Raw genomic sequence first — 26,903 nt, forward strand, 5'->3', positions numbered from 1 at the left:
GACAGATATGTATGAGATAATATGAGACATCACTAAATTCAGCTTTTTTTGTGTGTGTTTAATGGATAAAAGAACTAACATTTCTAAGCAAGAACAGAAGTTTTCTTAGATCTCAATAGCATTAGCCAATTGGCTTTATTTTTCCAAAGAAACAAAATAAGAAAAAATTATGTGAGCATCTGTTTTTTCTTCAGTGATGCACAGAGAACCACAAAATTGCATTATAGTGTAGTGGATAAGGTTATGGCCTCTAGAGTCAGGTAGCTTGTGTTCAAAATTTGGCTATACCATTTACTTACTGTTTTGATCTTATCAAGTTACTTCGCCTCTCTGTGTCATAGTTTCTTCATCTGTAAAATGAATTGACCACAGTATATATCTTTGAAGTTTGTTATAAGGAATAAACTTACCTAAAACTTTTAGAATAATGCCTGATACATTCTTAGTGCTCAATAAGTATTGGAAATCAAATTGTTGAAGTATATCATATTTGATATCAGCCAGGGTCACTCACTGGCCAAGTAACCCACCACATACCAGCATCAAAGATCAATTAAAATTGTCATATTCCTTTGGGGCTGCTTTTGAATGATAAAATGTCTGATAACTATTTGTACACTAGGTATGTATTATATTTCTAAAAGCCTAAAGAGAACTGCATAAACAATAGGGTTGCATAGTATAACAAAGCATTTGTTTCTTGTTTGGAATTTTATTTTATTTTTTGAGATGGAGTCTCACTCTGTTGCCCAGGCTGGAGTGCAGTGGCGCGATCTTGGCTCACTGCGACCTCCACCTCCTGGGTTCAAGCAATTCTCATGCCTCAGCCTCCTGAGTAGCTGAGATTATAGGCATGAGTCACCACGCCCAGCTAATTTTTGTATTTTTAGTAGAAACGGGGTTTCACCATGTTGGCCAGGCTGGTCTCGAACTCCTGATCCCCCTGCCTCGGCCTCATCTTCTTTGGAATTTTATTTTCTTGTGGCTTGGGTACTTGGAGTTTGGGAAAAAATGAAAAAGACAGTGGAGACGAAAATCCTTCAAAAGCTGAGGGTCACTAGGGAGAAATTGAAAAGGAAGAATAGACAATCTGAATAGGACTATATCTACTAAAGAAATGGCATCAATAGCTAATCTTCCCAAACAGAAAGCATTAGGCCAAGATAGGTTTGCTGCTGAATTCCACCAAACATTTAAGGAAGAAATTTTTCCAATTCTCTACAATATCTTTCAGAAGTTAGGAGAGGGAGTCCTTCCTTCCTAACTCATTCTATGAAAAACTAGGACCTAAAAGTAGTCAAATTATGAGTAGATAAATTTTACTTTAAAAGTGAAAAATTACTATTTATTTATTTAGAGACAGAGTCTCGCTCTGTCGCCCAGGCTGGAGTGCAGTGGCATGATCTCGGCTCACTGCAAGCTCCACCTCCCGGGTTCACGCCATTCTCCTGCCTCAGCTTCCCCAGTAGCTGGGACTACAGGCGCCCGCCACCACGCCCGGCTAATTTTTTTGTATTTTTAGTAGAGACGGGGTTTCACCGCATTAGCCAGGATAGTCTCGATCTCCTGACCTCATGATCCGCCCGCCTTGGCCTCCCAAAGTGCTGGGATTACAAGCATGAGCCACTGCGCCCAGCCTGAAAAATTATTTTTAAATGAAAGAATATTTATGGTCAAAAATAAAAATGCAAGCCTGGCTGGTCACAGTGGCTCATACCTATAATCCCAACACTTCGGGAGGCAGAGGCAAGAGGATCATTTGAGCCCAGGAGTTCGAGACCAACGTGGTGAGACCCTGTCTCTACAAAAAATAAAATAATTAGCCAGGCATGATGGCATGTGCCTCTGGTCCTAGCTACCTGGGAGGCTGAGATAGGAGGATTGCCTGAGCCCAGGAGGTTGAGGCTGCAGTGAGCCATATTCGCAACACTGTGCTCCAGCCTGAGTGCCAGAGCAAAAACCTGTCTAAAAAGCAACCCTGAACTACCATTTTATATTAAGCCTCCAAAATTTTTTTACCATCTCCTCAAGCATTTGTCATTTCTTTGTGTTAGGAACATTCCAATTTCACTCTTTCAGATATTTTAAAATATACAATAAATTGTTGACTGTAGTTACCCTGTTTTGCTATCAAATACAGATCTTATTCATTCTTTACCTGTTTTTTGTACTCGTTAACCATCCCCACCTTCTTTCTGCTCAGTTTTGCTGTGAACCTAAAACTGCTCTTAAAAATAGTCTGTTAAAAAAAAAAGAAAAGGAAAGAAGGACCTTCGTGGTGAAACAACTGGACCATTGGGCTTTTATCAGGTTTTTTCAGTCATGTAAAAGTAGCTTTGCATCCATTGACAGATGAATGAATAAACAAAATGTAGTATATACATACAATGAAATTATCATTCAGTCTTAAAAAGGAAGGAATTTCTGACACATGTACAACACATAAGATACACAAATAAAATTAAAATCACTTTACGAAGTAATTATGCTATTTTTTAATTGATGTTTTTCCTAGAGAACTTGGAAGGCCTTTGATTATTTTTATTGGCTTTTACATTTATTTCACAAAAATTCAAAAACCTTTTTAGCATTTGAATTGTGAAGTACAATTATGTGTACATTTAAAAGTAAAATAGCATTTTATAATTTTTAACTGCCATTAATTACTGTTTTATGCCTGTGCTTTTGTGAGTTTCTCAGTCACATTGTTACAGTAGGTGGCTAGTCAGGCATGAGCAGGTCAGGAGAGGGCGTCGCCTGACCAAGCATGTCAGGCAACCACGAGCTGATGGTCAAGGGGTTATTAACTGTCTCTCTGAAATAATAATTGGTCACAGCCAGCACCAGGGAAAGTCAGTCTCCCTATAGATAGAAAAAAACTGAAAATGGTGATCAGTAGCTTCCCAGTAGGATCTCAGGAGTTGGGCAAACGGGCTCAAGTATGTGCACTGAGAGGTGAAATGGCAGGGTTTAACTGGTATATGACCTTCTGGGGGCATTCCATCAGTAAAGGGAAGAAAGCCTCAGGTGAGCATGCATACAGCTCCAATATGCACACTGCGCATTCTCACCTCCCAAGTGCTGGCAGGCCACTGTGTATGCAGGCAACCCACCCCAAGGGAAGAATCAGGGGAGAGGGGATGCAAGACCCTGAACGTATGCCAGCATATAAAACCCCAAGTCAAAAGGTCCTTCCTTCAAGTTGCCCATTTGGCCCTCTGCCAAGTGTACTTTCCTTTCTTTTGTTCTTGCTCTAAAGCTTTGTAATAAGCTTCCACTCCTGCTCTAAAACTTGCCTTGGTTTCTCCTTCTACTTCATGCCCCTCAGTCAAATTCTTTCTTCTGAGGAGGCAAGAGCTGAGGTTGCTGCAGACCTGTATGGATTCGTCACTGTAACAAAATGGTTTGCTTATGTGATAATGATTATTCTCAATAATGACAAGCCCAAATGACAACTGACTATTTTGTCACAACTGATTATTTGTTTGTTTTTGAGATGGGGTCTTGCTCTGTTGTCCAGGCTGGAGTGCAGTCATGCAATCTCAGCTCACTGCAACTTCCGCCTCCCAGGTTCAAGGGATTCTCCTGCCTCAGCCTCCCAAGTAGCTGGGATTACAGGTGTGTGCTACCACGCCCAACTAATTTTTGTTGTATTAGTAGAGACAGGGTTTCAACATGTTGGCCAGGCTGGTCTCAAACTCCTGACCTTAAGTGATCCACTTGCCTCAGCCTCCCAAAGTGCTGGGATTACAGGCATGAGCCACTGTGCCTGGCCACAACTGATTATTTTGTTAGAGCCTGACCCAGAGAATCCATTACCAGTTTTAGTTCTGTAGGTTTTTTCTTTAATCTCCTCTTTTCAAGAACTTCATCAAATACCTAATTGAGCACTGAGGTTCAGTCCCAACAAATGTTTGATGCTGTCAGAGGCATGTGAACCACAGCAACTCCATCTTAAATAGGAACTAGGCAAAGTGGGGCTGCATTCCCAGATGGTTAAGGCATTCTTAGTCCCAGGATGAGATAGGAGGTCAGCACAAGATACAGGTCATAAAGACCTTGCTGATAAAATAGGTTGCACTAAAGAAGCTTGCTAAAACCCACCAAAACCAAGATGGCAATGAGAGTCACCTCTGGTTGTCCTCACTGCTGCAATCCCACCAGTACCATGACAATGTCATGCCATGGCAACATCAGGAAGTTACCATATATGGTCTAAAAATGGGAGGCATGGATAATCCACCCCTTGTTTAGCATATCATCAAGAAATAACCATAAAAATGGGCAACCAGCAGCCCTCAGGGCTGCTCTGTCTGTGGAGCAGAGATTCTTTTATTCCTTTACTTTCCTCATAAACTTGCTTTCACTTTATGGGCTCGCCTTGAATTCTTTCTTGTGGGAGATCCAAGAACCCTCTCTTGGGGTCTGGATCCAGACCCCTTTCCTGTAATAATACCCTTGTAAACCAAAAATAAAATTCTAAGCCACTCAGCTTACTGAATGGACTCCTTTTGGCCAAGGGGATCCCAAATAAAAAACTTGTTAAGGCCATGATGGGAAGTGGAGGTTGAGGCCAGACATGCTTTGTTATGCCCTCCTCCCTTTGGAGTTAAGGCACAACTGACCAGCATTAACATTAAAACAGAAATCATAAGATTGATAAAACAGACTGTTGTTAGTAATAAGATACCCAACTCCAGCCTGACTCTGGTATAACATCACATGACAGCGGCCCTAAAGGAAATCAAAGTATTTTATCCCAAAATATATTTCTTTGACGTATTTTGGAATGGCCCTGCAAAGCTGTCTCCTGTGGGGGAAATTTGCATTCTTTAGAGAATCCCCTTCTCTTTACAAGTCTTTTCCTAATCCAGGAGAGATTTAATACCTTTTAAGGTCTGACAGACATTTATTATCTATTCTCCCAGAAGCCTGTTACTTACAGGCTTCATCTACATAACAAGAACCTTGGCTTCCAGGTGGTGAGGTAGCTCGTGCTTGTAATCCCAGCACTTTGGGAGGCCAAAGCAGGTTGATCACGAGGTCAGGAGCTCAAGACCAGCCTGGCCAACATAGTGAAACCCTGTCTCTACTAAAAAATACAAAAATTAGCCAGGCATGGTGGTGTGTGCCTGTAGTTCCAGCTACTTGGGAGGCTGAGGCAGGAGAATCGCTTGAACCTGGGAGGCGGAGGTTACAGTGAGCCGAGATTGCACCACTGCATGCCAGCTTGGGCAACAGAGAGAGACTTTGTCTCAAAATAAATAAATAAATAAATAAATAAAATAAAAAGAACCTTGGCTTCCACAACCCCCCTTATCTTAAGCATTTCTTTATGTCGACTTCCATTTCTCAAGCAAAGCTTAATCCTTTTAATCGTCAATCAGAAAATCTTTGAATGCATCTATGACCTGGAAGAACTCCTCCACCCACATCCCCCACTCTCTGCTTCAAGATATCCTGCCTTTTATACCTTACATGTATTGATTTATGTCTTTGCCTATAACTTCTGTCTCTCTAAAATGTATAAAACCAAGCTATAATCCAACCACCTTGGGCACATGTTCTCAGGACCTCCTGAGGCTGTGTCACAGGCCATGACACTCATATTTGGCTTAGAATAAACCACGTCAAATATTTCACAGAGTTGGACTTTTTTTTTGCTAACACCCTCAAGCCTCAAATAACAAAAGCAGTCCAATAAAGCATTGAAGTGAGGACCAGTTGTTACAGGAGAGGGGTCCCAATCCAGACCCCAAGAGAGGGTTCTTGGATATCATGCAAGAAAGAATTCAGGGCGAGTCCACAGTGCAAAGTAAAAGCAAGTTTATTAAGAAAATAAAGTGGTGAAAGAACAGCTACTCCATTGATAAGAGTAGGACGTTCCTGAAAGTCAGAAGAGGAATGCGTCCACCCTAGGTACAATGCTTGTATATACGGGGAGATGTGCTCTGCTACAAGGGTTTGTGATAAAGGATTAATTTTCTTAATTACTATATTTTGCAAGAATTGATACTATTATCTTTAAAGCAAAATCAGGAATGCCTTTCTTCTCCAGATATCAGGATATCTGGACACTCCCAAGTCTGGGTCTGTTTAGGAAACATTATTAATTTGTTCCCTTAACCGTAAACATTTAGAGGCTAGGAATGCCTCATTTTCTGAGAATGCAGCCCAGCAAGTCCCAGTCTTATTTTCCTAGCCCTCACTCAAAATGGAGTCACTCTGGTTCAAACGCCTCTGACACAGTGACTGAGTATGCCCTTGGGTATGCCCTACTTATTTTCTAGTGTCAACTCTTTCGTTGACAGTTTCTCTGTATTTCTGAGAAAGGGATATCCCAGGGAGTCAGAAAGGGAATCAGCCTTACAATCTCTCCAGCTACTGACACTTCTCCTCTATAGTGAGCCACAGTGAGGGGGAGGCCAGTCAGCAGCCATATGGAGTGGGGTTCTGCTTCCCTGATCCAAATAGGTTGTTTTCTCTGTGTACAAACTAGACCTTTATAGAGCTTCAAGCTGTTCTTTACTAAAGAGTCAAGTGAACATTCCTGAGTCACTTGGAGTCCATAGGCAGAGATCAGGCATTCAGCTTTTGGTCTAGTCTCTCCCCACCTCTAAGCAAGAGGAAGGCAGAACCTCACCTCATAAGCCATCAGATGACAGGCTATCTCAGGAGCAATTCTCCGTTTCTTTTACACAAACCACCCTTTAGCCCTCCGAATAAAGTTTCAGCCCCTAGTTTCTTTTGCATTTCATAGATTTTCTTGCTTAATATAGCCACTGGATGTACACATGTATTCTTTCTGCTTTTTTGTCTCCATTTGTCTCTTCAGGGAGAGAGATTCTGTAAAGACTGAAGAACAGGGGGAGTCCACTGAGTGCTTTCCAGCTGCAGCTGGTTTCCCCCTAAAGTACCACAAATCAATGTGCCATTATGAGGATTAATTGAGGATTAATTTTCGTTCCATCACTCTGCAATCTAATCTACATTAGAAACATCTAATCTTCCTATTGACATTTGTCCTTTCCTTTTTCTGGTTTCCATTTCAAAGGACCCTCACATTAACGGCACATGGCTCTACTTAAGCAACCTGGTTAACTAAAGCTAGGATTTAAATGTTTCTCTTTAATCCTCAAGTTTATTCTCTGATAATGGGGTGGAGGGGTGGATAGTCTCCTTTTATGCCACCACACTAGTTGGATATTTAGTGGTTTTATAAACTTGTAAGCAGACAAGGCCACAGATATTGATTTGGACTAACTGAAGCAGAAGGAAATTATTGGAAGACTGTTGGGATGCTCAGAGTGATGGGAGCTAGGACAATCAGACCTGGAAATGGGCAGGAATCAAGAGGGATCTGGGGGATTGGCCATTAGGAACCCAGGCAATTTTCTTAAAGCAAGATAGTGAAAAGTGCATACCATCCCTGTGGAAATAACTTCCACATTTTCCTGCTGTCTGCCTGTCAACAGCTCAACAGTCTGAGCCCCAGAAAGAGCATCTGATGACTGATATTGGGTCACATACCTGGCCCCTGGTCCTGCAGAGTCAAGGAGGGCAAGGATCTGTTTCCTTCGGCTTTGGTAATGGAATGTAGTCACCAGGAATGGCAGCCCCACTAAGATTACACACAATGTAGATCTGTGAATTCCAAAAGGAAATGTGGAGGCTCTTAGGGCAGCCAAAACAAAACAAATGCCAACCAGAACTGTTTTTTTCTTTTGAGGTGGAATCTAGCTCTGTCACCCAGGCTGGAGTGCAATGGCACGATCTCGGCTCACCACAACCTCCGCCTCCTGGGTTCAAGCCATTCTCCTGCCTTAGCCTCCCAAGTAGCTGGGACTACAGGCACACGCCACCACGCCAGGCTAATTTTTGTAGTTTTAGTAGAGACAGGGTTTCACCATGCTGGCCAGGCTGGACTCAAACTCCTGACTTCAAGTTATCCACCTGCCTCAGCCTCCCGAAGTGCTGGGATTACAGGCGTGAGCCACTGTGCCTGGCCAGAACTGTGTTTTCAGTGGGCCAGTTGAAATGTAGGAGAAAGAAATTGAGAAATAAGGATGGAAGGAAACAGGGAGAAGGGTGGTAGAAAATGGAAGTGAGCAAGAAAGCAGAAAACATTCACTCAAGAAAAACTGTTCTTTGGCAATAGGTACATCTCTATGCAAGTCAGTGTGGCTTTTTTCCTCTAACATGATTTTAAAAGCTCTCTGAAAGCTCAGAAAACAGAAAACACATCTTGGTGACCTAGAAGTATAGTCATCTTCTTTCACCACCAGATGGTGCTTTATGTATAGAATGGAGGACAAGGATCCTGAGGACATTCCCAAACACTTGCATATTTAGGAAGCTCTTTTACTTAACAGTGATTCAAGAAATATTGGGGAAATGCAAGCCCAGATGAGGGACGCCTAACCTAGCTATACAGATAGGCAGGGGAGGGCGTCCTTAACCACAGTTGAGGCTTGCACCCAAGGACAGGATAGAGATTGGGAGGGGAATTCCAATTTAAGAAAGAACCACCAGAAGTAGAGAGGCTTAAGAAAGCACATTGCCTTCTAGGAATCACAGGTTGTAGGCTGGGAATGGACAGTATTTCAGGTGGAGGAAATAGAATGAACAAAGGTGTGAAAAATGTACAAACAGATTTGGATTTAACTATGGTTATTCAATTGTTTAGCTTATTATTGGGATTGTCTCAATTCTGCATCATATGACCTGACCTTGGAAAAGCGGGCCATCTGTTTAGGGTAACAACTATGATTCTATCCCTCAGAATACTCAGTTTTCCTTAGCCAGTCCTTGCTCTTTAGCTTCCCCATTTTCTTGTCCTTTTCTGTGCTAGAGGTGTATTGAAACTGATGCATTGCAAAACTGGTATTACATTAAATACACTGAACCTCAGATGCTTATGGAACACTTACACTATTTATACAGAAGAATAAGCAAAAGTGTCCAGGCACGGGGGCTCATGCCTGTAATCTCAGCGCTTTGGGAGGCCGAGGCGGGTGGATCATGTGAGGTCAGGAGTCTGAGACCAACCTGGCCAACATGGTGAAACCCAGTCTCTACTAAAAATACAAAAATTAGCAGGCTGTGATGGCAGGTGCCTGTAATCTCAGCTACTCGGGAGGCTGAGGCAGGGGAATGGCTTGAACCCAGGAGATGAAGGTTGCAGGGAGCCAAGTTTGTGCCACTGCACTCCAGCCTGGGCAACACGGTGAGACTCCATCTCAAAAAAAAAAAAAAAAAAAAAACCAAAAAAAAAGAATAAGCAAAAGCTCCTACCCTATAACACTGATGCATTCTGTTTGCATTTTATTCCATGATTTACACAATAATTATATATTGTATCCTTATGATATGTCAGATACTGTGTTGGCACTTTACATATATCTCACTTAATCCTTAATACCATCTGGAAATAATAAACATTTTATGGATGGTGAAACAGAGACACAGAGAAATCGAATAGCCTGCTCAGGGTTTCCAGAATAGCAAAATTAAAGGCCTAGGGTTTAGTTTTCCACTAAAGATTCTCATGGCTGGCTTCTTCACGTCATTCAGGTCTCTGCTCAAATGTAATCTTAGAGAAGCTACATTAATCCATCTGAAATAGACACCTCACTGTGCATCCAATTGTCCTGCCTTATTTTTCTTTGTAACATTATTATATTATTTATATTTGTATTGTCTGTATCTCCTCCTAGACTATGATCTCTGTTAGGACAAGCTCTTGGTTGTGTTTGCTGCTTATTACCACACTACCCAGACCAGAGCCTGGCACATAATAAGGAGCTCAACAAATTTTTGTTAAGAATAATTGACTCTTAGACCCAAACTCTTAGCCACTATGCTATATTTTGTCCCTAGATGGGATTAAGAAGGTTTACATTTTGAATATCCTGATACCAAAGAGCATGCTGCACAAAGCCTGTGCATGGAATGTGCCAAATAGTATGTAAACTGCGCCAGACGCGGTGGCTCACGCCTGTAATCCCAGCACTCTGGGAAGCCGAGGCGGGCGGATCACAAGGTCAGGAGAGTGAGACCATGCTCGCTAACTCGGTGAAACCCCATCTCTACTAAAAAAAATACAAAAACTTAGCCGGGCGTGGTAGCGGGCGCCTGTGGTCCCAGCTACTTGGGAGGCTGAGGCAGGAGAATGGTGTGAACCCGGGAGGCGTAGCTTGCAGTGAGCCGAGATCGTGCCACTGTACTCCAGCCTGGGTGACAGAGCGAGACTCTGTCTAGAAAAAAAAAAAAAAAAAAAAAAAAAAAAAAAAATATATATATATATATATATATAGAGAGAGAGAGAGAGAGAGAGAGAGAGAGAGAGTATGTAAACTGCCACTCTATACTCTTAAAATTCGAGTTTAATTTACACACAGTAAAATAAATAAATCTTAAGTATGTATGTATTTTTACAAATGCATACACTTTTGTAACCACCAATCATATCAAGATACAGAACATTTTTTAGCCTCCAAGGAAGCTCTCTTGTAGTAACTCCCAGTCAATACTCTACTTTGCAGAGATAAATATTCTGACTTCTATCAAATAGGTTAGTTTCTGGGTCTTAAGCTTCACATAAATGCAGTCATACAGTTTGTACTCTTATGTCTCTCTTCTTTTGCTCACCATAATATTTTGGAGATTTATCTATGTTCTGTATATCAGTGGTAGTTTATTTTTTTATTGTTGTGTTATATTCCATTGTATGAATAAATAACAATTTGTTTATACATTCACCTGCTAGTGGATGTTTAGGCTGTTGCCAAGTTTTGGTTATTAAGTATAAAGCTGCTTTAAATATTGTTGTAAAAGTTTTTACAGACATATGTACTTCATATGTTATTTTAGGGGGTATATAATTAGGAACAGAATTGCTGCATCATAAGGTAGATGTTTGTTTATCTTTCTTTTCTGAAGAGTGCCTGTTCAAGTGTTTTGCCCATTTAAAAAGCTTTCTTATTGATCCGTAGAGTTATTTATGTATATAATCCTTTAACAGATATAAGTATTGCAAATATATTCTCCTACTTTGTAATTGCCTATTCAATTTCCTGCTAATGTATTTTGATAATAGAGGTTCTCAATTTTAATGAAGTCAAATTTATCAATTTTGTCTCTTAAGGTTAGAGCTTTTTCTGTCATGTTTAAGAAATCATTGTCTACCCCAAAGTTATGAAGTTATTCTGTTTTCTTCTAAAGCTTTCTGTTTCAGATTTCACATTAGAGAATATGATCCACCTTGAATTAAGTTTTGGATTTGTTGTGAGTTAGAGTTTATTTTCTTTCCCATATGGATATACAGTTGTTGAAGTACCATTTAATAAAAACACTATCATTTCCCCATTGAATTGTAGTAACACCTTTGTTATAAACTAAATGATGTATATGTAGAGGGTATTTCTGGACTCTGTTTTGTTACATTGGCCTATTTGCCTCTCCTTGCACCAATACCACCTTGTCTTAATTACTGCCGCTTTATAGTTAGTCTCGAAATCTGATAGTAAAGTTTTCAACTTTATTCTTCTGAAAGATTATTCTTGGCTATTTTAGGTTCTTTGCATTTCCATATAATTTAAGATTTATCCTGTTGATGTCGACCAAATATTTTATGTGGGTTTTTATAGGTTGGGTTTGCATTGAATCTACTTATCAAATTGGGGGAAATTGACATCTTATCAATTTTGAGTCTTTTGATTCATGCACATGATATAGCTCTTCATTTATTTAGGTCACTTTTAATTTCTCTCAGGAATATTTTGTAGTTTTCACTATTAGCCTTGTGGAACTCTTCTTAAATTTGTTCCTAAATATTTGATTTTTTAATGTTACTATAAATTACATTTTAGAATATTTCATTTTCTGATCATTTCTTGATAGTATATAGAAATATACTTGGTTTTCATGTGCTGACTTCGTATCCAGAGAGCTTGCTAAATTAATTCTAATAGTTTGTATAGTTTCAGATTTTCTGTCTTCACAATCATGTAATACATAAATGAAGACAGTTTTACTTTTTGTTTTTGATCTTTATACCTTCTATTTCTCTTTCTTGTCTTGTAGAACTCTCTTGGGCCTACAGCATAATGATGAATAACAGCTGTGGTAGTAAAGATCCCCATCTTATTCTTGACTCTGGGGAGAAAATGTTAACCATTGATAATGACACAGCTACGGGGTTTTATTACTAGATAACCCTTTGAGATTAAGGATGTTTTATTCAATTTCTCCTTTGTTGAGGATTTTTTTCTAAAATCATCAATGCATGTTCAGTTTTATCAAATATATTTTCTTCACCTATTAAGATGATTTTATTCTGCCCCTTCTTCCCATATTATTCTGTTAATGTGGTGAATTATAATGACAGAATTTTTAAATGTTAAATCAACCTTTTATTCCTGGAGTACATCCTTCTTTGTTATGGTATGTTATTATTTTTTTATATTCCTGGATCCCATTTATTGATTTTTGTTTTGTTTTGTTTTGTTTTGAGACAGGGTCTTGCTCTGTCACCCAGGCTGGAGTGCAGTGGTGTGATCATAGCTCACTGTAACCTCATACTCCTGGGCTCAACTGATCCTCCCACATCAGCCTCCTGAGTAGCTGGGCCTACAGATGCATGCCACCAATGTAAACACATTTTTTAGAGACAGGATCTCACTATGTTGCCCAGGCTGGTCTCAAACTCATGGGCTCAAGTAATCCTCTCACTTTTGACTTCCCAAAGTGCTGGGATTACAAGCATAAGCCACTACACCCTGCCAATTTATCGATATTTTGTTACGATTTTTATATCTATGTTCAAGAGAGATTCTAGACTATAAATTTCCTTACTTGTACTGTCATATTTTGGTATCAATGTTTTGCCAGTCTTAAAAAGTGAGTTCAGACATGTCTCTTCTTTTTTAATTGTCTGGAATAGTTTGTGTAAATCCAGTATTATTTGTTCTTGAATTATTTGTAAGAATTTAGCATTAAAGCCATATAAACCTGGCATTTCTTTGCAGGAAAGTTATTTTTTTTAAACAAACATATGGAAGTAATTTGCTTTGTTTATGTCAGCACAAACTTAGTCATTTTCCACATACACCCTCCCAAGACTAAACCAGGAAGAAGTTGAACCCCTGAAAAGACCAATAACAGGCTCTGAAATTGAGGCAATAATTAATAGCTTACCAACCAAAAAAAGTCCGGGACCAGATGGATTAATAGCCGAATTCTACTAGAGGTACAAAGAGGAGCTGGTACCATTCCTTCTGAAACTATTCCAAGCAATAGAAAAAGAGGGAATCCTCCCTAACTCATTTTATGAGGCCAGCATCATCCTGATACCAAAGCCAGGCAGAGACACAACAAAAAAGAGAATTTTAGACCAGTATCCCTGAGGAACATCAATGCAAAAATCCTCATTAAAATACTGGCAAACCGAATCCAGCAGCACATCAAAAAGCTTATCCACCATGATCAAGTTGGCTTCATCCCTGGGTTGCAAGGCTGGTTCAACATACACAAATCAATAAACGTAATCCATCATATAAACAGAACCAAAGACAAAAACCACATGATTATCTCAATAGATGCAGAAAAGGCCTTTGACAAAATTCAACAACCCTTCATGTTAAAAACTCCAATAAACTTGATATTGATGGGACGTTATCTCAAAATAGTAAGAGCTATTTATGACAAACCCACAGCCAATATCATACTGAATGGGCAAAAACTGGAAGCATTCCCTTTGAAAACTGGCACAAGACAGGGATGCCCTCTCTCACCACTCCTACTCAGCATAGTGTTGGAAATTCTGGCCAGGGCAATCAGGCAGGACAAAGAAATAAAGGGTATTCAATTAGGAAAAGATGAAGTCAAATTGTCCCTGTTTGCAGTTGACACTGCATATTTAGAAAACCCCATCGTCTCAGCCCAAAATTTCCTTAAGCTGATAAGCAACTTCAGCAAAATCTCAGGATAGAAAATGTGCAAAAATCACAAGCATTCCTATACATCAATAACAGACAAACAGAGAGCCAAATTATGAGTGAACTCCCATTCACAATTGCTTCAAAGAGAATAAAATACCTAGGAATCCAACTTACAAGAGATGTGAAGGACCTCTTCAAGGAGAACTACAAACCACTGCTCAACGAAATAAAAGAGGACACAAGCAAATGGAAGAACATTCCATGCTCATGGGTATGAAGAATCAATATCATGAAAATGGCCATACTGCCCAAGATAATTTATAGATTCAATGCCCTATTTAATAAATAAGGTTAATAAAAGTCAATAAATTGACTTTTATGTACCTATGTGTCATTTCCATTGTATTTATCCTATTTGGGACTTGCTAAGCTTCTTGAAGATTTTGTTAATACTTTTCATCAATTTGGAAAATTATCAGCCATTTTTCTCAAATGATTACTTCTTATTCTGTCTTCTCTTCCTGGAACTTCATATATTTCACATTTCTTACTGTGTGAGGTTCTTTTTACCTTCTTCCTTTTTGAGGTTCAATTTGGATAATTTCATTAAGTTCATTCTTCTTGACATATGTTGTTTTCTGTCTACTGTTAAAATCCTCAAGTAAGTTCTTTACTTTTTAGTCAACTTATGAATTAACTAAATTTTATTTAAGTTTGCATTTATTAAGCTTTTAAGTTTGCTTTCCTAGAATTCTGGGTTTCTTCTTAAAAAAAAAATCCTCATCAGGATACATACAATAAGCTGCACCCATTTAGAGTGCACACTTTGATGAATTTTGACAGCTGTAGACTCCTGTGAAATCACTACCACATTCAAGATACAGAATATATCCATTACACCCCAAAATATTTCCCATGCCCCCTTTGCAGTTCATTTCTCCTTCTGATCCTGGCCCCAGCCAATCACTGATTTGCTGGACTCACTATAAATTAGTTTGCATTTTCTACAATTTATATAAATGAAACCACACAGTATGTATTCTTTGTGTCTTGTTTTTATCAGCCAGCATGATGATTCTGAGGTTCATCCATGTTATTACCTATGTCAGTAGTTCACTCCTTTTTATTACTAAGTAGTGTTACTTTGTATAGATATACTACGACTTGTTTATCCATTTTCCATTTGATGGACACATGGGCTGTTTTACATTTTTGGCTACTGTGAATAAGGCTGCTATGAATATTTGCATTTAACACTTTGTGTGAACACATATTTTTTATTTCTATAGGTTGAATGCTTAGAACTAGGATGGCTGGTCATATGGTAGGTGTATGTTTAACTTTATAAGAAACTGCCAGTTTTTTGAACTACTTTACATTCACACCTTGAGAGTATAAGCTCCAATTGTTCCACATCTTCACTAACATTTGGTATTATCAGTCTTTTTAATTGTAGCCATCCTAATGTAGTGTTGTCTCATTGTAGTTTTAATATGTGTTTTCCTAATGACTAACCATGTTGCAAACCTTTCCATCTCCTTACTGACCATTTATACATCTGCTTTTGTAAAATGTATGTTCAAATATTTTGTCCATTAAAGAAATTGAATTATCTTCTTATTATTGAGCTTTGGGAGATTTTAAAAATACATTTTATATACCAGTTGTCAGGTATTGGTAGTGTGAATATTTTCTACTATTCTGTGACTTTTCATTTCTTAATGATGCCTTTAAAGAGCAAAAGTTTTGAATTTTGATAAAGTCCAACTTATCAAGTTTTTAACTTTTATGATTAATGCTTTTTATCTTAAATATTTGCTTAACCTCAAGATCACAAGATTTTTCTTTTATGTTTTATTCTAGAACTTTTATGTCTTTTACTTTTAGATTTAGGTCTATGAACTATTTTAAGTTAATTTTTGTATATTGTGTGAAGTGAATTGGCTGACCAACTTACCATACATTGCCTAAAGTCACTTATTTTACAATTTTTCAAAATTTATTTATCAGTAGTCTCCATTTTAAAAAATAGTCAAGGTATTCTTTTGTTTATAGAATATACATTTGGTTTTGCCTATGTAAAGTGGTATAATCTTATGGTAAAATGGGGCAAGAATCTGCAGGTTTAGAATTTTTGGAAGCCAAAGAGCTTTTTTTCCTATTTTTACTTTTATCATTATTTCTTTAAGTTTACTGGGATATACTCTGTTAACATTTACAGTCATTATTACTATTTTAACAACAAACAGGCTCAGAAATATTAAGATTTTATTCAGTTATAAACACAAGCCTATTTATGTTAATACTAGACTTGAGCTCAGATTTCCAAATGCCAAATTCCTCACTTTAGCTTAAGTGAAATAGAAAAAAGGTGCAAAATGCTTATAAGAGGTGTAGGTCAGATGAGTACAGCTTAAATATTAACTTTCTCTTCTAATCATAAATAGATAATGTTATATACACGGGTATTATTATCATATTTATTATTTATTGAGACAACATCTATTAAACATAAGAAAGCCCTATTGTATGACTTTTATTCTGCAAAGAGTCCAGGTAGAATAACAATAGTGTGTTAACTCCTACTTGAAATGGTCTATTTTCAAATAGTCTGAATTGATGAGTTTTCTATATTTTTTCTTTGGGAGATCATTCCACAGCTTAATGTCAAGGTAATCTCATTTATCACCTTAGCTAATTTACTTTTTTTCATTTGTATTGTAAGAAAATGAATGCATCTTTGCAGTTTCATCTGTCAAAAGCTTCTAAATGGCTGTCACTCAACCACATTAATCATTCTGTAGCCAGCCTTCCTGTGGTTATCCTTTTAGTTATTTGGTAGCTTTCCCCTATCTCTCTGAGAAATTTCTCTGATTAGTTGTTATCTGACATATGGATTACTTATAACATGTAATGAAATTCAAACTTCTTTTTAATGTAATACAGAAGAATATAGTGGTGATTAGGTCATTCTCTTATTCAAGGCCTTCAGGAACTATCCACACCTTCCAAATACAATTCAAGCTTCTTTGTTTAGCATTCAGGCCAATCATCCCAGTTAGAAGCAGACATAGTTTGAATATCTGTCCCTGCCAAATCTCACATTGAATTGTAATCCCCGTGTTGAAGGTGGGGCCTGGCAGAGAGCGTTTGGATCATGGGGGTGGATCCGTCATAGCTTGGTGCCATCCTCACGGTAGTGAATGAGTTCTTGCGAAATCTGGTTGTTTAAGTGTGTGGCACCTTCCCCCACCCACTCTCTCTCTTGCTCCTGCTTTCGCCATGTGATAAGCCTACTCTTGCTTTGCCTTCCACTATGAGTAAAAGCTCCCTGAGGCGTCCCCAGAAGCTGGGCAGATGCCAGCACCATGCTTGTACAGCCTGCAGAAACATGAGCCAATTAAACCTCTTTTTAAAATAAATTACCCAGTCTCAGGTATTTCTTTATAGCCATGCAAGAATGGCCTAACAGAGATATAATCTTCCTCCCCTTGAATTCCCATTACACTGTCTTCATGCCTCAAACATGACATTTAACATATGCTACGGTTTGATGTCCCCTCCAAACCTCATGCTGAAATTTGATCCTGGCCCAATATTGGAGATGAGGCTTAATGGGAGGTGTTTTGGTCATGGGGGCGAAACCCATGAATAGAGATATATGACCTCCCTCGGTAGGGAGTGAGTGCTCACTCTATTAATTCCTCAGAGCTGGCTGTTAAAAAGAGCCTGGCATCTCCCTTACCCGTCTTTTGTTTCCTCTGTCACCAAGTGATCTCTGCACAGCTGGCTCCCCTTTGCCTTGGCCTTTTGCCATGAATGGAAGCAGCCTGAGGCCTCCACCAGATGCAGATACCCAATCTTGAACCTTCCAGCCATTCTTAACTGTGAACCAAATAAATATGTTTTCTTTATAAATTACTCAGTCTCTCCGGTAGTCCTTTACAACAACACAAAACAGACTAAGATAAATCTTTACAATACAGTTGCAGTGCACAAATACATAATTTATGTGAATTCAAGTCTAAGTAAAACTTAAAGAGAATACTTTAAATTGAAATACTTTAGTTTTATCTACCAGTTCTGTATCATTCAGGTTCAATCAGAGAAGCAGAACCTGTAAGAGTGATAGAAAATATAAAATTTATTATGAGCACTAGCCCTTACATAGTTGTAAGAGCTGGTTAAGTCATCTCTGTCTGGTGTTGGCCTCTGTGTCTGGTGTAGGGCCTAAAGACAGCAAGGCTAATAGGAAGAAAAGATGGTCATGAAATGGGGAAGAATAAGGAAAGATTGGAACTGGTGAGAACAATCTGGAACCTACAAGTGAAACCGCCTTTGCAAAAATTATGACACTGAGAAAAATCTGACATAGGAAAATTATGGCAGTAAAAGAAATCTGTCCTAACCAACTCCATCTTGCTTCTAACCTCCAAGCTGCCCTTGTTCGTTCCCGGGCATAGGCTGAACTAACTTTGGGAGGAATTTATAGTTTAACTTTGAAACAAAGATGATAACAGCCCCTCCCTGAAACAAACTCCCTTCTTGCATGGGGACAAGATTGTTCTTTGTAAAACCAACAAATTAGCCACAAGCTCAGAAACCATGGCCTAGGAGTCATGCAGCCAGAGGCCACAAGATTGCTAACTTCCCCAATTGCCTCTATAGATAACATTACTATTGTAAAACCTAAGATTGGTGTTTGAGCCGATTTTTCTGACCCAGCATTCTGATGGGTTAGCTGGCACATTCCAGACAGAAAAACTGGCTCATCTGGTCTTGTGGCCTCCACCAGGAACTGACTCAGCACAAAACGACAGCTTCAACTTCCTATGATTTCATCACTTGACCCAACCAATCGGCATTCCCCATTCCCTAGCTCCTTTTCCACCAAACTAAAAAACCCTAGCCTCTGAATTTTCAAGGAGGCTGATCTGAGTAATAATAAGACTCCAGTCTTCCATTTAGCCAGCTCTGCCTGTATTAAACTCTTTCTCTATTGCAATTCCCCCATCTTGATAAATCAGCTTCATTTGGGCAGTAGGCAAGATGAACCCATTGGGCGGTTACACACAGGCAAACTAGATCCTGTGAGGACAAATTGCAACCTGCATCTGTATTTCCTTGCGTCCAACCTCAGTGATGTGAGGGACTTATAGGATTAGGTAGTACCTTTGGCAACACTGCTGCACATGTACCTGGTCTAAGATTGAGAGAAGCAGAATGAGGAGATCTGGCAGGAGCTGCAAAGCTGCAGGCCAGGCTGCTGGCCCATGCCTACACGGTGAGCCAGCAGGTCAGTGCCTGGCCCTACAATGACCTTTAGGGCTTCAGATCACATGGCTGCTGCTTTACTTCTGCCTTCCAAATCTCACACACATTCTCTTTTGACTAACCCTAACCTAGAATCATATAGGAAAGGGAATTCTGGAAAATGTAGTTCTATCTTGGCTAAGTTCACAGTCTATGAAGCTACCGCAAGTCTGTTTCTGCATAAATCCTTGAGTAAGCAAGGGACAGAAGATATACATCTGCTATATTTTCAATCTGTCTCAGTTCATGAGTGTGTATCATAGTGTAAGCATGGCACAGTGTTGAGTACATACAATTCTATTTGGTTGAATTTTTAGAATAAGACTGCTTTCCTAAACTCTAGCCAACTGTTTCATTACATCTCTCCTGAAGAAAGTGATCTGCTCCAGTGTGAGGAGAGAAAGACTGCATTGGGTCTATAAACTGAGAGATGGCATATGTGGGTCTCTGATATGGTCCCTTCCTAAGAAGGGATTCCTGGAGTAGTTTTCCCACATCCAATTTTCAATTTACACTTTAACTTTGAAACCCAATCCTGATTTTAGAACCTCCTGCAATAAATATTTGTTAAAATGGTGAAAAATGAATTGTGAACTTCTTATCTGTAGGGGTTTTCTGGTTAAGTGTCTGTATTCCTTTTAGCAACTAGCAAAGTGCTTGGCACAAATTAGGTACTCAATAGATGTGGTTAAATTATTTATTGCAAATTTCTATTCTGGTGTTGTATAATGAGTATTATGTTTTCTTTTTCAATAGTTTTTTTTTCCAAGTTGCCTTTAATATAAGCCACTTAATATTGTGTGTGCCTTGGGGCTTGGGTAAAAATGACTGCCCATTCAATGTGGGTTTTGCAAGGCAAGTTGGAGCTTGCAGAAAAGTAAATGTACATTGAAATACTTGGGAACATTTTGGCCCTGTTTGTTTCCTTCAGTGTTTGCATAAATCCCTACACTCTACCTGTACCTCTCTCTCTTCCTCTCTTTGGTAAATTATCTTAAATATTATAAAGTAATTCATGCCCTTGTTAAACAGTAAATAAAGGAGAAAAGTGAATATAAAAGTTCTTGGAATGCCTCCTCCACCATACAAAATTTTGCCTGATCCAAAATTCCACTGTTAATATTTTTGTGTATGTATCTTTCCTCAAATATCCCATATGTTTACAAAAATATATATGAATACGTATGCATACTTATATACTTATATTTGAAGGAAACAGGATTACATTATATAAAAATACTATGCTGCTACTGGTTTTCACTTACTATATTTTGAAACTTTTTCAACATCAGCACGTAAATGTGCAGTTTCCTTTTAAGTAAACTCTTGAAATGTATTCCAATGTATGTATTCACAATTTAACCAGTTCCCTATGATGGTCATCTTAGGCTAATTCTAAGAATTAACATTATAAACAATGTTGCATATACATATATCTTTGTATGTATCATGCTAATACATCCAATTTTATATCCAAATATATCCAAATTTGTAGCAGTGGAAGTACATAGTTTGCCTGAGTTTTAATAGCAACTGAAAAGTATGTATTTTCAGGATATATAATATTTATAGCTCATTAAAAGTTTCTAGTCAACACAGGGTTACATGTATCTACACAGCCTCTTTTGTCAAGAGACCTTTGACAAAAGGAAAGTAAAACCTTGGAAGAAAAGTCTTTGTCCTTATTCTTTTTACAGCTTCCTTTAGCCATCTACAATTCACTAATAATTAGCATCCACCACCATCTTCTGGAACTGAAGACAGCTTTTCTAGAGATTAAAAGTACCACTATATTTAATTCAAAATCTAATGTATTGTAAAACAATTATTTTTATAATTCCATTATCTTAATGTGGAACAATAATGCTGATATTGCCACTAAAAATTAGCTGGCATTATCTATTAAAATTGATCATATGCATTTCTCATGACCCATGAATCTACTCCTAGTTATATACACATCAGAAATGAGTACATCTATCTGTCAAAAGTGTTCTGTGAGACTGTTTGCAGCAGCCTTATTCCCAGTAGCCTCAAAGGGAAACAACGCAAATGCCCTTCAACAGTGGAATGCATAAATTGTGCCATACTCATAAAAAGGAATAATATGCAACAGTGTAAATGAAGAAATTATTACCATAGAAACTATGGATGAACCTCATAAACATAATGTGAATTTGAATAGAGCCAGACAGAAAAGGATACATACTATATGATTCCAAAGATTCAACAGGCAAAATGAATCTGCAGTATGTGTTGGCTAATGACTGGAGGGGTAATGAAGTGCTGATCTGTGCAATGTGCTAGCATTCTATTTTTTGACCTGGATGGGTTTTGCATAGGTATGTTCAGCTTGTGATAATTACCAGCAGAGGGGAGAGCATGCACGCAATTCTTCAGGATGAGATTGGTGACATGTAGAGAAAAGGGGGAAATGACTGTAGTTTAAAAAAAGTCAATTCCCTCCTCCCCACTTCTCCAGCTCTCCATTTCCTAGGAAGAGAGCCCAGGGAAAAGCAAACCAAGAAACAAATTCCAGCTCAAACTCAAACTCTCAAACAGATCTGGAGACTCAAATATCGATCTCTCTGGGCAAAAGGCATTCCTAGATTTGTCCAAGGTACAAAAACTACCACTCTAACCACGTTTCTTCGCTGCCCGGGGTCAGAGAAGTAAAAACCCATTATTTATTTATTTTTAAGTTACTTCCAACCTCGCTGCCTCGAGCTTCTGAATCGCCTGGGCAACCTGGAAGCCGCCCATCTAAGGGGGTGAGGTCGAATCCCAGCCTTGACGCCTTAGCAACCGAGCGAGCCTTTCTCGCGTCCCAGCAACGCGCCCTTCCCTCTGCCGGGCCTATTCTCCCTGGTGCCCCTCCCTTCCTCGAGGCTGCAGCTCACCCCTCATTGGGTCTCTCGTTGGTCAGGAGGGCGCGGGTCTGCACACTCTCACTCGGTGCCGGACATCAGTTCCTGCGGCTCTTGCTGTGGGAGCTGCCCGAGAGCCAGAGCAGTGGGGAGGGACGGCGAGAACCAATGTTTAAGTTTATTTAAGAAAGAAGAAAAAGAGTCAAGAAGTTCAAGATTTTCGTCACTCTTATTTTTAAGGCACATCCAAAGCTCCGTGGAGAAGGGGCTGGAGGGTGGGAAAATTATTTTTGTGCACATTCCATATAAGAAAGAAGAGACCCATCGAACATTCAGTACGGAGTCACCTGGAAATTGGAGATGTTGGATACGATCGCCCGTGCCCTGCAGGACCTGGGCAGGCAGGTGCTGCCCACTCTGCCCTCGCTGAGCCAGGAGGGTAAGCGTGTTGGGTAGCAGGGGGTGGCCCTGGGGATTGAATCTTCATCTGCTTGCAGGGGAGGCGGGGGGACCCACTTCCCAATTCCCTGGCTCAGGCCTGGCCTGCCGTGGCTAAGTTGCCTTGACAACCAGCTGGTAATCACATCCTGCCCACGTTGGACGCCCAGAGACCCTTTTCTGGTTTTGATTAAACCAGGGGATGCGTAGACAGCACAAAGTAAGTGCTCAATAAACGGACTAGCACAAAGTAAGTGCTCAATAAAGGTTAGGTAAAAACAGCCACTCCCACACCACTCGCTGGGATGGATCACAACCCTTTTGCCTACCTAGAGAAAAGAGATGCAGGGACCCTAAATGGCTCCTTTTGAGAGTTCATGCAAAGACGGTTGATTTTGTTGCCTTTGACATCATGCCGTTGTATTAAGAAAATGAGATGATCATAAAAAGCTACAGGGTAAGTACTTTGGAAGGGGACCTGGCACCTTCTCAGAGAAAACTCATTAGGCTTGGTTAGTAGCAAGACAAGATCTGTTTTTAGCATCGTTTGTAGAAGAGTCACCCCAAAGTGAGGCTGAGATCTGTCTGCAAACCACAGGAGAAGAGAGGTGCTGCAGGAATGCAAACTCATTATTATCAAACCATTGTAACTTAGAGATGTTGCTTAGGCTTTAACCAAATGACCGCAGAAAACAAATAGGAATGGCTGCTTCTTTCTCTTCCCCTGCATCACTCCTATCTTTTCCTCTCAAATCATCCTGAAAGATGCATTGAAGATAATGGCTTAATGAATTTAAAAACATTTGCTATATTTGTAAATTTATGTATAGTCATTCAAGGAATTCTGAAACCCTGCTATATGCTGAGCACTAGTTAACTTACGGTGAACAAACATCTTGGAATTTACTGTTTAGTGGGGAAGATGCACATTAATCAAATAATCACACAAATCAATGCAAATTTACAATTTAGGTAAATGATACCAGGGAGGAGGTAAATGGTACAGTAAGAACTTTTTTTAAAGATGATTTTTTAGGGTAGTTGTAGATTCACAGTAAATTAAGAAGGAGGGACAATATATTAGTTTATTTGTACACTGCTATGAAGATACTATCCCAGACTGGGTCATTATAAAGGAAAGAGGTTTAATTGACTCACAGTTCTTCATGGCTGGGGGAGCCCTCAGGAAACTTAAAATCATGGCAGAAGGGGAAGCAGGCATGTCTTACATGACGGCAGGAGAGAGAGAGAGAGAGAAGCCCGGGGGACCAGGGGAAACTGCCATTTATAAAACTCTCAGATCTTGTGAGAAATCCCTCACCATCATGAGAACAGCATGGGGGAAACTGCTCCCAGGATCCAATCCCCTCCCACCAGGCCTCTCCCTCAACACCTAGGGATTACAATTCAAGATGAGATTTGGGTGGGGAAACAAAGCCTAACCATATCAGACAGAGATGTCCCACATACTGTCTAATCCTACACTTGGATAGACTCTCCCATTGTCAACATCCCTCACCGGAGTGGTACATGTGTTACAATTGAACCTACATTGACACATCAAAATCACCCAAGTTTCATAGTTTACATTAGAGTTCTTTCTTGGTGTTGTACATTTTATGAGTTTGGACAAATGTAAAATGACATGTATCTATCATTATAGTCATATAGAGTATTTCACTCCCCTTTGTTCTGCCTATTCACCCCTACCCCTAATCCCAAAATCTGGAAACCACTGATCTTTCCACGGTCTTCATAGTTTTGCCAGTTCCAGAATGTAATATAGTTGGAATCATATAGTTTAAGCCTTTTCAGATTGGCTTCTTTCACTTAGCAATATGCATTTAATATTCCTCCATGTCTTTTTGTGGCTTGATAGCTCATTTCTTTTTAGTTCTGAATAATATTCCATTATCTAGATGTACCACAGGTTTTTTTTTTTTAATCTGTCCACCCACTGAAAAATGTCTTGGTTGCTTCCAAGTTTTGGCAATTATGAATAAAGCTGTTTTAAATATCTGTGTGCAGGTTTTAAAAAACTGGATATAAGTTTTCAATTCACTTGGGTAAATACCCAGGGACATAATCGCTAGATTGTATGGTAAGAGGATGTTTAGTTTTGTGAGAAACTGCCAGACTGTCTTCCAAAGGGGCTGTACTATGTTGCATTCCCAAGAGCGATGAATGAGAATTCTTGTCACTCCATGTTATTGTCAGCATTTGTTGTTGTCAGTATTTTAGATTTTGGTCATTCTAATAGATGGTGTATTGGTATCTCATTGTTTTATTTTGCATTTTCCTGATGATAAATAATGGGGAGCACCTTTTAATATGCTTGTCATTTTTTGATGAGATATATATAAAGGGCTTTGGCTCATTTTTAAATTGAGTTTTTCTTTTCTTTGTGTTTTTAAGAGTTATTTGTATATTTTGCATGACAGTGTCTTTTGCAAATATTTTTTCCCAGTCTGTGGCTTGTCTTCTCATTCTCTTGACATTGTTTTTCACAGAGCAGAAGTTTTAAATTTTAATGAAGTCCATCTTATTATTTCTTGCTTGGATTATGCCTTTGGTGTTTTATCTAAAAAGTCATTGCTATACCCAAGATCATCTAAGTTTTGTCCTATGTTATCTTCTAGGAGTTCTGTGGTTTTGCACTTCATATTTAGGTCTATGATCCATTTTAAGTTAATTTTTGTGAAAGGTGTAAGGTCTGTGCCTAGGTTCTTTTTTTTTTTTTTTTTTTTTTGCATGTGGATGTCCAGTTGTTCTAGCAATGTTTGTTTAAAAGACTATCTGCTCCATTGTATTGCCTTTGCCTCTTTGTCAAAGATAAGTTGACTGTATTTATATGGGTCTATTCCTGGGCTCTCTTTTGTGTCCTTTTAATCTATTTGTCTGTTCTTTTGTCAATACACACTGTCTTGATGACTCAGCTTTATTGTAAATCTTGAAGTTGGGTAGTGACAGTCCTCTGACTTGTCCCATGTGTTATCTAGATGCATATTATTTAGTCCCCATGTATTTTGGGATTTTCCACTTATCTTTCTCTTATTCATTTCTACTTTAATCCCATTGTAATCTGACAGCAGGCATTGTATGATTTCTATCCTTTTCTATTTGTTAAGGTGTGTTTTATGGCCCAGAACATGGTCTGTCTTGGTGAATGTTCCATGTGAGCTTGAGAAGAATGTGCATTCTACTGCTGTTGGATGAACTAGTCTGTAGATATCAACTATATCCATTTGATTGATGGTGCTGTTGAGTTCAACTATGCCTTTACTAATTTTCTGCCAGCTGGATCTGTTCATTTCTGATAGGTGAGTACTGAAGTCTTCAAGTATGATAATGGATTCATTTATCTCTTCTTGCAGTTCTACTAGTTTTTGCTTAATGTAATTTGACATACTATTTTTAGGTGCATACATATTAAAAATTCTTAGGTCTTCTTGAAAGATTGACCCCTCTATTATTATGTAATGCTCTTTATTTCTGACAACTCTCCTTGATTTGAAGTCTGTTCTAAAATTAATATAGCTACCCCTACTTTCTTTTGATAAGTATTATCATGCTGTATTTTCCTCCATCCATCTACTTTTAATCTATATGTTTTTAGATTTAGATTGGGTTTCTTTTAGACAAGATATAGTGGGGTTTTGTTTTTTGGTCCACTCCAGCAATCTTTGTCTTTTAATTGGTACACTTAGCCTATGTTCAAAGTGATTACTGATATAGCTAGATTAATACCTACCATATTTGTTATTGTTTTCTACTTTTTGCCCTTGTTTTTTGTACCCATCTTTATTTTCCACTGAGCATTTTACGATTCCATTTTCTCCTTTTTCAGCATATCAGTTATACTTTTTTTTTTTTGAGACATAGTCTTGCTGTGTCACCCAGGCTGGAGTGCAGTGGTGTGATCTTGGCTCACTGCAAGCTCCGCCTCCTGGGTTCATGCCATTCTCCTGCCTCAGCCTCCCCAGTAGCTAGGACCACAGGCACCCGCCACCATGCCTGGCTAATTTTTTGTATTTTTAGTAGAGGTGGGGTTTCACCATGTTAGCCAGGATGGTCTTGATCTCCTGACCTTGTGATCCGCCTACCCCAGCCTCCCAAAGTGCTGGGATTACAGGTGTGAGCCACCGTGCCAGGCCCAGTTATACTTTTAAAAAAAATTTTAGTAGTTGCCTTAGATTACAATATATATTTACAGTCAATTCAAGTCCACTTCCAAATAACACTGTACCACTTCACAGGTAGTGTGATTGTTTTATAATAACAAAATCTTAATTCCTTCCTCCCATCCCTTGTATCATTGCTGTCATTCATTTCATTTCACTTATAT

The 26,903-nt window shown here is 38.9% G+C and overlaps 1 protein-coding gene and 1 long non-coding RNA gene across 5 annotated transcripts in view, besides 2 other annotated features; one reads left to right on the forward strand and one right to left on the reverse strand.

Annotated features, from left to right (window-relative positions):
- The window catches only part of LOC105369421 (uncharacterized), a 60,137-nt gene that overhangs the window by 16,720 nt on the left and 16,514 nt on the right, over positions 1–26,903 (reverse strand). For 2 of the 3 annotated variants that reach the window (XR_007062826.1, XR_007062825.1), the window contains exons 3-4: positions 7,531–7,644; positions 300–350 (exon numbers count right to left, since the gene is read on the reverse strand). This is a non-coding gene — a long non-coding RNA (uncharacterized LOC105369421). Of the gene's footprint in view, positions 1–299; positions 351–7,530; positions 7,645–17,685; positions 17,765–26,903 lie in introns of those variants that run through there. The other variant, XR_001748531.2, reaches the window with a different exon arrangement.
- Positions 3,966–4,500: an enhancer, noted in NCBI's record as "NANOG-H3K27ac hESC enhancer chr11:86067691-86068225 (GRCh37/hg19 assembly coordinates)". NCBI's record gives its function as "activates a minimal SCP1, AML or CMV promoter by ChIP-STARR-seq in primed H9 embryonic stem cells {active_cell/tissue: H9 hESC(primed)}" and the evidence as "EXISTENCE:reporter gene assay evidence [ECO:0000049][PMID:30033119]".
- Positions 21,944–22,238: a silencer, noted in NCBI's record as "tiled region #8024; HepG2 Repressive non-DNase unmatched - State 3:PromF, and K562 Repressive non-DNase unmatched - State 7:EnhWF". NCBI's record gives its function as "represses a minimal TATA promoter and a strong SV40 promoter by Sharpr-MPRA in HepG2 and K562 cells {active_cell/tissue: HepG2 | K562}" and the evidence as "EXISTENCE:reporter gene assay evidence [ECO:0000049][PMID:27701403]".
- CCDC81 (coiled-coil domain containing 81) overlaps positions 22,204–26,903 on the forward strand; it is a 48,220-nt gene continuing 43,520 nt past the window's right edge. For both annotated transcript variants that reach the window (NM_001156474.2, NM_021827.5), the window contains exon 1: positions 22,204–22,559. In NM_001156474.2, the coding sequence (NP_001149946.1) occupies positions 22,481–22,559 (79 nt within the window). In that variant the 5' untranslated portion in view covers positions 22,204–22,480. The remainder of the gene's footprint in view (positions 22,560–26,903) is intronic.

Source organism: Homo sapiens, chromosome 11, assembly GCF_000001405.40.
Source record: "Homo sapiens chromosome 11, GRCh38.p14 Primary Assembly".
NCBI lineage: Eukaryota > Metazoa > Chordata > Mammalia > Primates > Hominidae > Homo > Homo sapiens.